This window comes from Homo sapiens, chromosome 19, assembly GCF_000001405.40.
Source record: "Homo sapiens chromosome 19, GRCh38.p14 Primary Assembly".
Taxonomy (NCBI): Eukaryota; Metazoa; Chordata; class Mammalia; order Primates; family Hominidae; genus Homo; species Homo sapiens.
In genome coordinates this window covers 48,158,306-48,170,623 of record NC_000019.10, presented here as the reverse complement: position 1 = coordinate 48,170,623, position 12,318 = coordinate 48,158,306, and the positions used below count along the sequence as shown (strand labels likewise).

Genomic DNA, 12,318 nt, shown 5'->3' with positions numbered 1-12,318 from the left:
CGCCTCTCTTCCCGCCGTGCCTCGCGGGGGCGCTTCCACCGATTCCTCCTCTTTCCCTGCCAGTCACTCCTCAGACCCTCAGCCACACCCGCTCATCCAGGGCGAGGGAAAGCGCGGGCATTTTCCCAGTGTGCTCTGCGGGAGGGCTCGCCCCACTTCACCCCTTTTCCCGCCCTCCTCCCATTCGGGAGACTACGACTCCCAGTGTCCTCCGCGCGACGGCGGCGGTGCGGACGGTGCCCAGGTCCCGCCCCTAGGCTCTGCCCCGCCCCCGCCCGCAGACGTCTGCGCGCGAATGCCGTGGCGCGAACTTGGGACTGCAGAGGCGCGCCTGGCGGATCTGAGTGTGTTGCCCGGGCAGCGGCGCGCGGGACCAACGCAAGGCAAGTGGGGCCGTCCGCAAGCAGATGGGAGGCGGAGGGCGGCGGGTGCGCCGAATGCTTGGGGCCTATGCTTCGCCATGTCGGGGTGTCTGCAGAGGAGTGGGCGTGGGGACGCTGAGGCTGCCGAGAGCGCGGTGGAGACGGAAGAGCGCGGGCTGCGGGCCGCCGGAGAGTGCAGAGAGGTGTCTCCCAGAGGGAGGGGGGCCAGGTAGAGGGTAGACGAGAGACAGAGACAGTTGGACAGGTCCTCTGAGAAGAGGCCTTGAGGTGCGAGTTCACCTGGAAAGGGGAGAGGCCAAATGGAACTGAGGGGCGGGGCCGGGGGGGGGAAAACTGTGTGGGCGGGGCCAGCTGGAAATCGGAAGGCCCCCCGAGGGGGCGGGGCTATCTGGGAGGGGGAGGGGCTGAAGGGAGCTAAGGGGCGGGGCCGGGGAAAAGATTGCGTGTGGGCGGGGCCACCTGGAAGGGGGAGGTGCCAAGGGTGGGGCTGGCTGGGAACCGGAAGTGCTGAGGGGGCGGGGGCCACCTGGAAGTGCTGAGGGGGCGGGGCTAGAAGAAGGTAAATCGCGGGCAGCAGCATCACCTGGAAGGAGTGGGCCCTACTGGAGGGAGATGGGTGGTGTCAGGGAGAGGTCAGTGGTAAGGTCCAGGTCTAGGTAAAGGGCTCGTAAAAGATGGAGAATCATCTGAATGGGGAGACGTCTGGCCTAATGTATGCTTGATAAAGGGATGGAGCTTACCTCTTGTTTTTACTTTTTATTTTGAAATAATTATAGATTCAAGGAAGTTGTGAAAAGAGTATATCCATCTTCCCCTAATGGTGACATCTTATGTAGTCCCAATATCGAAACCAGGAAATTGACATCAATACAGTTCTGTTAACTAGATTACAGACCTTGTTCAGTTTTCACCAGTTTGTGTGGTGTGAGTGTGATTGTGCATCTGTGTGCCCGTGCAGCTTGATTCCTTGTATAGATTTGTGTAACCCCCATCGTAATTGTGATATAGAACAGTTCCCTCTCCACATAAGAACTCCTCCCCAGGCCCCTGGCAACCGCTAATGTGTTCACCATCTCTAGTTTTGTCATTCGGAGATTGTTATGTAAATGGAATCATATATTATTAGGATGTTACCTTTTTTCTACTCTGCACAATGCCCTGGAGGTCCACCCAAGTTGTTGCTTGTATCAGTGCTTCGTTTCTTTTTATTACTGAGTACTGTTTCATCCTTACTTGATATTTTTCCTGTCATTATCTCTTCATTTTGGTAACCGCTTTATTGAGATATAATTCACAATTATACAGTTTGCCCATTTAAAGTGTACAATTTTGCCCATTTAAAATGTACAAGTCAGCGGTTTTCAGTGTATTTAAAGTGTATTTCAGTGTATTTAAAGTGCCCATTTAAAGTGTACAAGTCAGTGGTTTTCAGTGTATGCGCTGAGTTGTGCAGTTATTACCATAATCGATTTTAGGATATTTTTATCATCCCCCCAAAAAACTCCTATACCTTTTATCCATCATTCATTTAATTTTAACCCTGAACAATATTCTACCATATGGTATTCCAGTAATGAGGGAACCAGTTCCCTAAGGGTAGACATTCCACCAGTTTCCAGTCTTCTCTCATTACAGTTAGTGCTGCAGCAGGTAACTTTGTGCCTCACTTGGTCCACCTGTGAGGGTCTCTGTGGGCCAAATACACAGAAGTGGGGTTGCCGTTCCGATAGAGACGCCAGGTGGTCCTCCAGAGGCATCAACCAGTTTGTTCCCCCCAACTCAGCAGTACACAGAGTTGAGAAGCCAGCCTTGAGTACCGTGGTAAGGAGAAAGGAACGTGGGCTTTGGAGCCAGCCACACCGGGTTTTGAAGCCTTGCCTGAACCCCAGCTATGTTCCTCTGTCCTCATTACCTTCATCTATAAAGTGGGGATGATCTCACCTGTCTTGGAGGGCTGACTTGAGGATTGAGGGTATTTGAGAATGTGATCAGCCTGTCAGGCATAGAGTAGGCTTCCCAGTAAACGCTTATGTATTTCTCCTTCCCTTGCAACTCAGTCTGGTGGTTAAGAGGTGAGCTGTGGAGCAGGCCGACCTGGGGTGGAACGTACTATAGATGCAGGTTAAGTTCCTTTGAAAACCCCTCTGTGCCTTAGTTTCTGTAACAGAGTTGTTGTGGAGAGTCAGTATAATTGAGAATGTCAAGTACCTAGGCAGTTGAGCACTCAGGAGGGATCGTAATAGTTTTCTCCTTTGCCCTCAGGATTTTGGTGGCTAAGTCCCTAACCTGCTTTCTGTGTGAACTGTTTGGTTGAAGCATTGCTTACTTCCTGCTCCCCAACTGGCCCTGAGAAACTCTGTTTGGAAATTGCTGAGTTTCTTTTTTGTTTGTTTTTTTTTTTTTTTTTTTTTTTTTAAGACGGGGTCTCGCTCTGTCGCCCAGGCTGGAGTCCAGTGGTGCAGTCTCAGCTCACTGCAACCTCTGCCTCCTGGGATCAAGTGATTCTCCTGCCTCAGCCTCCTGAGTAGTTGGGATTACAGGCTGGCACCACCATGCCTGGCTAATTTTTTGCATTTTTAGTAGAGATGGGGTTTCACCATGCGGGCCAGGCTGGTCTTGAACTCCTGACCTCGTGATCCGCCTGTCTCAGCCTTCCAAAGTGCTGGGAGTACAGGCGTGAGCCACAGTGCCGGCCTACTGAGTTTTTTGATTCCAAAATTGAGTTTGAGTTGTGGTGCCAACATGTGGCGGCCAAGGCTGTAGAGAGTAGTGGAGACTTAGAGGCGTGTGGTGCGGGACAGAGAGTACTGATTCCAGAAAACGAAAGGGGACCCCATGGGTTGAAGAAGATTTCTGTGCAAAGGAAGGGAAAGTCAAAGAAAACCATTTCTGTTGCCCAGGCTGGTCTGAGCTGGTCTCAACTCAAGCAATCCACGCAGAGGTCCTGCTAGTCCTTTTTTAAAAAATATATTCATAGTGGAAGGAAATATAATGTAAATAATTATAATTACATAATTATAATGTGTAATTTATTTTCTTCCATTATAAATATTAAAGATATAGAAAATTTATAATTTTTTATATCTTTAATATTTATAATGGAAGGAAAGGCTCAGTTCCAATTAGAAGTTTACAAGAATAAAGTCGTAATTTCTTTCCTGTCAAATTTCATAGACCACTTGAGTTCTGCTCTTGGACTCCTGGGTTTTGTGGACCCCAGATTAAGAACCCTTTCTTTTCTTTTTCTTTTTCTTTCTTTTTCTTTCTTTTTTTTTTTTTTTGAGACAGAGTGTTACTCTGTTGCCCAGGCTAGAGTGCATGATCTCACTGCAACCTCCACTTCCTGGGTTCAAGTGATTCTCCTGCCTCAGCCTCCCCACTAGCTGGGATTACAGGTGTGCACCACCATACCTGGCTAATTTTTGTATTTTTAGTAGAGATGAGGTTTCACCATGCTGGCCAGGCTGGTCTCGAACTCCTGACCTCAGGCGATCCACCCGCTTCGGCCTCCCAAAATGCTGGGATTATGGGCAGCAGCCACCACGCCCGGCCTAGGAACCCTTTCATTAGAGTTACTCTAAACTGTGGAAGCCCCAGTGACTGTTATTGATTTCATTAAATAACAGACTTTTTAAAAAAGTATTTAATTTTTAAAAATATATTGTGAAGGGGTAACGTATTCCAATTGTTCTGCCTGCAAAAGCATGCATATTAAAAAATCTCCCTCCAGCGTCTGTCCCTCCTGAGGCGACAGCATTACCAGTTTTTTGTCTTCCAACTGAGATGTTCTGTACATATACAAGATATGTGGATACATTTATAGTCTTTCTTTTGTTTTTGTTTTTTGAGATGGAGTTTCACTCTTGTCCAGGCTGGAGTGCAGTAGCACAATCTCGGGTCACTGCAGCCTCTACCTCCCGGGTTCAAGCGATTCTCCTGCCTCAGCCTCCAGAGTAGCTGGGAATACAGGCGCGTGCCACCGCACCTGGCTAATTTTTGTATTTTTAGTAGAGACAGGGTTTTGCCATGTTAGCCAGGCTGGTCTTGAACTCCTGACCTCAAGTGATCCACCCACCTCGGCCTCCCAAAGTGCTGGGATGACAGGCGTGAGCTACTGTGCCTGACCTATAGCCTTTCTCTTTTACACAGTTCAGTAGCACACACTCTGTGATATTCTGCCCTTTGTTTGAAATAACAGCATACCTTAGAAACTGCCCAAGAGCTAATTTATGTAGACCAGCGGGTACAATTTTATAAGCTTCCACAGTTGTTTCACGGAATTATGTCATCACCTTAAAACAATTTTTCACTAACCTTTAAACTTAACTCCAAAAAAACCCATTTCAGGTCCTCAGTCTATTCCTCATATTAGATGAAAAACAGTCTTCTTATGGTAAAGGAGGCCTCTTATCTTTTTCTCTGATTTGGAGCTTTTATTCTGCACCAGTAAATCTCACCAGCAAATTATTTTGGTTCATAAAAACAGGAGTTTCTTTTTGAAGGGGAAATTCATGTTTCTGTTTTTTTTTTTCTTTCTTTCTTAAAGAAAGGGTTTTATGTGTGTTTAGATCTCTGCACAACCAATCACCTCAACAAGTGTTTGGATTTCTGTTCCAGGAGCAGCTGACAGACGAAGAAAAGTGCTGGACAGGAAGGGAGAATTCTGACGCCAACATGCAGCGAAGTATCATGTGAGCACCCTCCCTTGCCCCTGAGTCTTTCCTTCTCCAAGTCCTCTGTTTCTTTCTCTAAATCTGTACTTAAAAAAACAAACAAACAAACAAAAACTCTTACGTTAGATTTTGAGTTGGAATTTCCAGGAGTCAAGTAGTATGGAAAATGAGCCGTGGGATATGGAAGACAGTGTATTGAACAACAGTTTTTAGTTGCAAGGAGCAGAAACCCTAACGCAGTGGTTCTCAGTCAGCAGCAATTTTGCTCCCCAGGGAACATCTGGCAGCGTCTGGAGATTTTTTTTTTTTGAGTTGGAGTCTTGCTCTGTCACCCAGGCTGGAGTACAGTGGCGCAATCTCGGCTCACTGCAACCTCCGCCTCATGAGTTCAAGTGATTCTCCTGCCTCAGCCTCCTGAGTAGCTGGGATTATAGGCACGTGCCACCACGCCTGGCTAATTTTTGTATTTTTAGTAGAGACGGGGTTTCACCACGTTGGTCAGGCTGGTCTCAAACTCCTGACCTCGTGATCCGCCCACCTCGGCCTCCCAGAGTGCTGGGATTTCAGGCGTGAGCCACGGCGCCCGGCCAGTGTCTGGAGATATTTTTGGTTGTTACAACCTAGGGACAGAGGGTTTGCCATTGGCATCTAGTGGCTAAAAGCCAGGCATGCTGCTAAACATCCTTCAATTCATAGGACAGCCCCCCCAACAACACAGAACCATCAGGCCCAACATGTCAATAGTGTCTAGGTTGAGAAACCTCGTGTTAATGCAGTCCGGCTTCAGGAAGACAAGAAAGGGCATGACTTGACTTATATCATTGAAACCTGCTGGAGTAAACAGCCTCAGGCTTGGTTCGATCCAGTTGCCAAAACTTCCTCCCTGGGAATCTGTCTCTCTCCATTGTTCAGCTCTACTGTCCTTGAGGTTGTCCTCACCCTCAGGCGGGCTCTCCCCTCTTAGCGGTCCCCTTGGAAAGAGGGTGTTAGAGCCCAGTTTCACTGGCCCAGCCTGGGCCACATACCTATCCCTGAACCAGCCACAGGGATGCAGCCTGGATCACGTGTCCACCCCTGGTCACAGGCAAAAGGGCCAGCCCACTCAAATCGTGTGTACTGAGAGAATGTGGGGTAAGAAGCATCCCAAGAGGAAAACGGAGGGGCTGTTACCAGGAGGAAAAAATGGATGGTAGAGAGACCCAGACAAGGGCATCCATCCCAGAAACCTGGGCGGTAGTGGCTTACACAAATGCTGGGTTCCGTTTTTCTCCCGTGATGAGGAATCTGGGGATTGTCTCTCCAGGGCTGATGGTGCCTTCGATTGCTTTCTGTCCACTGGCTTTTGCATGATTTTTCCTTTTCTTTTTGAAGATTAAATAAACCTCTTATTCTGGAATAATTTTAGAGGTACAGGAAAGTTGCAAAGACAGTACAGAGAGGTCCTGTATACCCTTGGCCAGTTTCCATTGTCAATATCATACATTACTATGATCCGTTTCTCACCACTGAGATACTAATGTCAGTACATTACTCTTAACTGAACTCCATACTTTATTATTCAGATTTCACCAGATTTTTTTTTTAATGTTCACGCCTTCCAACATTTTTTTTTTTTTTTTTTTTGAGACAGAGTCTTGCTCTGTCGCCCAGGCTGGAGTGCAGTGGCGCGATCTTGGCTCACTGTAAGCTCTGCCTCCCAGGTTCAGGCCATTCCCCTGCCTCAGCCTCCTGAGTAGCTGGGACTACAGGCGCCTGCCACCACACCCAGCTAATTTTTTTTGTATTTTTAGTAGAAGCAGGGTTTCACCGTGTTAGCCAGGATGGTCTTGATCTCCTGACCTCGTGATCCGCCCACCTCGGCCTCCCAAAGTGTTGGGATTACAGGTGTGAGCCACCATGCCAGGCCCCAACATTTTATATTTAGTTGTTTGCTTAATATTTCTGCCCTTCACCAGAGTGTTAGCTTCTTGAAGGCAGGAACTTCGTGTGTCTGGGTCACTGCCAAACCCCTCAGGCCCAGAACAGGCCCTGGCACATAATAAGTGCTTAGGTAGGCCGGGCGCAGTGGCTCACACCTGTAATCCCAGCACTTTGGGAGGCAGGAGGATCACCTGAGATCAGGAGTTCGAGACCAGCCTGACCAACATGGTGAAACCCCTTCTCTACTAAATGAAAAAAATTAGCCGGGCGTGGTGGCGGCCACCTGTAATCTCAGCTACTCAGGAGGCTGAGGCAGGAGAAACACTTGAAACTGGGAGGCCGAGGTTGCAGTGAGCCGAGATTGCACCATTGCACTCCACCCTTGGGCAACAAGAGTGAAAACTCCATCTCAAAAAAAAAAATTTTTTTAGGCTGGGCGCGGGGGCACATGCCTGTAATCCCAACACTTTGGGAGGCCAGGGTGGGTGGATCACCTAAGGTCAGGAGTTTGAGACTGGCCTGGCCAACATGGAGAAAACCCGTGTCTACCAAAAATACAAAAAAAATTAGCTGGGCGTTGTGGTGGGCACCTGTAATCCCAGCTACTCGGGAGGCTGAGGCAGGAGAATCGCTTGAACCTGGGAGGCAGAAGTTGCAGTGAGCCGAGATCACACCATTGCACTCTAGCCTGGGCAACAGAGCGAGAGTCTGTCTAAAAAAAAAAGATTTAAAAAGTGCATAGTTAATATTTGTTGAATAAAACTTGGGATGTATCATATCTTGCAGGTGCGTTAGGGCAGAAAAATTAGTGTTGCCTCCTTTGTCTGAGTCTGAGTTTCCTTATCAGTTAAGTTAAAGGGCTTATTTGAAATTCTCTGTTATGTGCTGAGATGGAAATGGTGTTAGAAGTTATAGGATGCGGCCGGGCGCGGTGGCTTATGCCTGTAATCCCAGCACATTGGGAGGCCAAGCAGATCACAAGGTCAGGAGATCGAGACCATCCTGGCTAACACGGTGATACCCCATCTCTACTAAAAATACAAAAAATTAGCTGGGCATGGTGGCGGGTGCCTGTAGTTCCAGCTACTTGGGAGGCTGAGGCAGGAGAATGGCATGCACCCAGGAGGCGGAGCTTGCAGTGAGCTGAGATTGCGCCATTGCACTCCAGCCTGGGCTACAGAGCGAGACTCTGTCTCAAAAAAAAAAAAAAAAAAGGAAGTTATAGGATACAGCATAGATAGGCAGGGTATTGGTGCTGTTATTCTCCTTTTTTTACCCCCTTTTATGCTCCTCTAGGTCATTTTTCCACCCCAAGAAAGAGGGTAAAGCAAAGAAGCCTGAGAAGGAGGCATCCAATAGCAGCAGAGAGACGGAGCCCCCTCCAAAGTATGTCACAGGGCTGGGATATGGTGAATTTTTTCCTTTAGCAGTCAGGATTGTCTTGGTTGCAAGTGTTCAAACCTAATGCAAAATGTCTTGGGGCCCAAAAAACTTTTTCAGCCAGGTGGCCAGAAGTCCAAGAGCAAGAGCAGCTGCAGGCACAGCTGGATCCAGGGCCTCGGAGTTGTCTGTACGTCTCTGTTTCTGCAGGTCTTGGCCTCGTTCTAGAACCAGACATTCTCCATAATGCAGAGAAGCTGGCCGCTGGCCACTGGCCACGTCTTGATGCTGTCTCATCTAAGTAGAAGACAACAGTACTCTTTTTTTTTTGAAATGGAGTCTCACTCTCACCCAGGCTGGAGTGCAATGGTGTGATCTCGGCCCACTGCACTCCAGCCTGGGCGACAGAGCAAGATTCCATCTCAAAAAAAAAAAAAAAAAGGCATCCCAATAGATGCTGGAGACCAATGGCAACCTTAGGCAGGGACTCCATTTGCTCCTCAGCATCACCCATCACAGGGCAGGCACTCTGGAGACTTCCAGAGATGTGTGATGGGTGGGTGAGTGGATGAGTGGGCGGGTGGATTAATGCACTGATGGATGAAATGATGAGATTTGCTGAGGAGACAACCAGAAAATGTTCATTGGATGCTTGAAAGGAAGGGAAGGAAACAGCAAAGAAACCAAAGTGTTTGCGGGCAGTGCCCCCACTCTGCCTGCTGTAGTCGCCCCTTTACACCCCCATTTCCCCACCTTCCAGGGCGGCACTGAAGGAGTGGAATGGAGTGGTGTCCGAGAGTGACTCTCCGGTGAAGAGGCCAGGGAGGAAGGCGGCCCGGGTCCTGGGCAGCGAAGGGGAAGAGGAGGATGAAGCCCTTAGCCCTGCTAAAGGCCAGGTAGGTCCCCATCACCCTGCCCATTTTTACCAGAAGAAACTAATTCCCATTAACCTTTGGAACAGAGTGCAGCAGCTGTTCAGGAGAATTCTGGAGAAATTGCCCGGGAGAGGTAGATGTGTTTCCTGGTTGTGTCGGGGGCAGACACAACCTGGTCCTAATTGCCCCTGCCCTAGGACCTCGGGTGGGCTCCTTCACCACGTTAGGTCTTGGATGCCTCAACTGTAACATGCAGCTCCTGGTAACACCTTCCTCATAGGGTGACTGGGAAGATGAAATGAGTCGATTTACATACAGATCTGAGAATAATGCCTGATGGTAAAACAAGGGCTCAAGGCCCAGCACAATGGCTTACGTCTGTAATCCCAGCACGTTGGGAGGCCAACGTGGGAGGATCACTTGAGGCCAGGAGTTCGAGACCAGGCTGGGCAACATAGCGAGACCCCATCTCTACAAAAAAATGTTTTAAAAATTAGCCAGGTGTGGTGGTGCATGCCTGTGGTGCTATCTCCTTGAGAGGCTGAGGCAGGAGGATCGCTTGAGCCCGGGTGTTCAAGGCTGCAGTGAACTGTGATTGTACCACTGTACTCCAGCCGGGGTGACAGAGCAAGACCTTGCTTCAAAAAAAAAAAAGCAAAAAAATAAGGGTTCAAAAGTATATCTAGCCTCTCCTGTGGTCAGAGGGCTTTTTAACTTCTCCAAATACATTGGACCACTCTCTTCCCCTGTTTAAGTCATTTAATGCTTGTTCATTGCTTTGTGGATGATGTCCAAAGCGTGGTGCTGCTTATTCTGTCAGTGGTGAGGTCAGGTCCTGTGACTCCCTGCCCAAACCCCCTGGTATTACCACCACAGGCCAAAGCCAGGCCTTGTGGAAACCTCCCAGGCCCCTCCTGCTGCTCCTCTCTTCCCCCGCCCATCACATCTGCAGCCGCATCCACAGCTCCTCCTCAGCTCGCTCCATCCTGGCTTCCCACACCCACCAGGTGCACTTCCACCTCTGGGCCACTACCTTCTTTCCCAGCCTAAAACTCTCTTTCCCAGATACACGCCTGGCTCAGTCCCCTGCTTTCTTCCATGCTTTGCTCAGATATCACTTCCTCAGCGAAACTTTCCTCACCACCTATGTTAGCTTCCCATTTGCTGCCATAACAATTGACCACAAACGCAGTGGCTTAAAACAGTGTCAGTTTATTGTCTTACAGTTTGGGAGTCGTGAGTCTCAAATGGGTTGCACTGGGCTAAACTCAAGGTGTCAGCAGGTCTGCGTTCATTTCTGGGGGCTCTGGGGGAGAATCCAGGAATTGCCTTTTCCAGCTGCTAGAGATCCCCTTTTCTCCGTTTTCAAAGCAAGTGGCTGGGTGTGGTGGCTCACGCCTGTAATCCCAGCACTTTGGGAGGCCGAGGCAGGCAGATCACAAGGTCCGGAGATTGAGACCATCCTGGCTAACATGGTGAAACCATGTCTCTATCAAAAATACAAAAAATTAGCTGGGCGTGGTGGCGGGCGCCTGTAGTCCCAGCTACTCGGGAGGATGAGGCAGGAGAATGGCGTGAACCCGGGAGGCGGAGCTTGCAGTGAGCCAAGATCGTGCCACTGCACTCCAGCCTGGGTGACAGAGCAAGACTCTGTCTCAAAAAATAAATAAATAAATAAATAAATAAGCAAGTGGCATTGCCTCCTTCTGTGCCTTTCTTCTGTGGCCACATCTCACCCTGACTTTCCTCTCCTGCCACCCTCTTCCACTTTGAAGGCCCCTGTGACTATATCAGGCCCACCTGGATAGTCCAGGGTAATCCCACTATCGGAAGGTCAGCTGATTAGCAACCTCAATTACCCTTTGCCATGTAACCTAACATATTCCCAGGTTCCAGGTATTAGAATAGAGATCTCTTTTGGAGCTTAGACTTTACCCTGAGGCTTCTGGGGAGCTAGGAAGAGTTTTGGGCAGAAGAGAGGCAGAGATCATTTAGTCCTGGGCAGTGTTTAAAATATTCATCTGGCCAGGCATGATGGCTCACGCCTGTAATCCCAACACTTTGGGAGGCCAAGGCGGGTGGATCACGAGGTCAGAAGTTCGAGAGCAGCCAGGCCAACATAGTGAAACCTCATCTCTGCTACAAAAGTTAGCCGGGCATGGTGGCACGGGCCTGTAGTCCCAGCTACTTGGGAGGCTGAGGCAGGAGAATTGCTTGAACCTGGGAGATGGAGGTTGTGGTGAGCCGAGATCGTGCCATTGCACTCCAGCCTGAACAACAGGGCAAGACTCCATCTCAAAAAAAAAAAAAAATTATCTGAGACCTGTATCTCCATCAGGGTCTCAATGGGAGACAGAAACCATACCAGTGATTTGAACAGAGGGAGTTTAAAGGATGGTCACTAGGTATGCAGTTGTTAAATAGGTAACTGAAGGGCTAAAAAGAGAACTAACTCTAAGGCATCATGGAGGTAGCAACTGTGGGGTGCAGTGACCATCCCTGTGGCTTTTGAGCTGAAATTCACACCTCTGTGGTGGGACTGCTGGCAGGTCTCTGAGCTTAGAGAAGGTGCCCCGAGAGCCTGCAACTCTGATCTTTCAGGAAGGGAGCACTGGGTGGGAGATGCCAGGGTCTCTGATCAGGTACCACGTGGCAAGCCCCGTGAATGTTAGAAAAAACTGTCAGTGGGATCCAGCAGCTGCCCCCGGCAAGCCGGCTGTGCCTCCAGTCATGCAGTGCCCTCTGCTTCCCTCCATTGGCACTGCCTGATGCCCAGGTGGCGCCAGAGCAAGAAGAAGATTTGTGGAGTCCCGGTCCTGGCAGCATGAAGGAGACTGGACAGTGACAGGTTTGGAGCTGAGAGAAAATCACTTAATAACTGGCACAGGGCCCTGTAAGAAGATAAGTGAGTGGTTGAAACCGAGACACGGTAGCAGTGGCTTAGGCAAGACGCAAACTTATTTTTCTCTCTCCTGAGTGCAGAGTCCGGGATTCATGTGACCGTCTCACAGGGTCAGAGGCCCAGGCTTCCTCTGTGCTGTCGTTTGCTCTCTGTAGATGCCCTTGTCCCTGTGAACATCCATATTC

At 49.3% G+C, this 12,318-nt stretch overlaps 1 protein-coding gene across 12 annotated transcripts in view, besides 4 other annotated features; it reads left to right on the top strand.

Annotated features, from left to right (window-relative positions):
• Positions 139-798: an enhancer, noted in NCBI's record as "H3K27ac hESC enhancer chr19:48673083-48673742 (GRCh37/hg19 assembly coordinates)". NCBI's record gives its function as "activates a minimal SCP1, AML or CMV promoter by ChIP-STARR-seq in primed H9 embryonic stem cells {active_cell/tissue: H9 hESC(primed)}" and the evidence as "EXISTENCE:reporter gene assay evidence [ECO:0000049][PMID:30033119]".
• Positions 139-841: a biological region, named in NCBI's record as "H3K27ac hESC enhancer GRCh37_chr19:48673083-48673742".
• Positions 280-12,318, top strand: part of LIG1 (DNA ligase 1) — a 54,900-nt gene continuing 42,861 nt past the window's right edge. For 6 of the 12 annotated variants that reach the window (NR_110296.2, NR_135497.2, NM_001289064.2 and 3 more), the window contains exons 1-4: positions 280-383; positions 5,001-5,074; positions 8,273-8,362; positions 9,117-9,252. Coding sequence is in view for 6 of the 12 variants with exons in the window: in NM_001289064.2 (NP_001275993.1) it covers positions 5,058-5,074; positions 8,273-8,362; positions 9,117-9,252 (243 nt within the window). In the remaining 6 variants the exon portion in view is untranslated. The remainder of the gene's footprint in view (positions 384-5,000; positions 5,075-8,272; positions 8,363-9,116; positions 9,253-12,318) is intronic. The other 6 variants (NR_135501.2, NR_135499.2, NR_135498.2 and 3 more) reach the window with 1 other exon arrangement.
• Positions 692-741: a silencer, noted in NCBI's record as "silent region_10873". NCBI's record gives its function as "represses an Ori minimal core promoter by ATAC-STARR-seq in GM12878 lymphoblastoid cells {active_cell/tissue: GM12878}" and the evidence as "EXISTENCE:reporter gene assay evidence [ECO:0000049][PMID:35858748]".
• Positions 772-841: a silencer, noted in NCBI's record as "silent region_10872". NCBI's record gives its function as "represses an Ori minimal core promoter by ATAC-STARR-seq in GM12878 lymphoblastoid cells {active_cell/tissue: GM12878}" and the evidence as "EXISTENCE:reporter gene assay evidence [ECO:0000049][PMID:35858748]".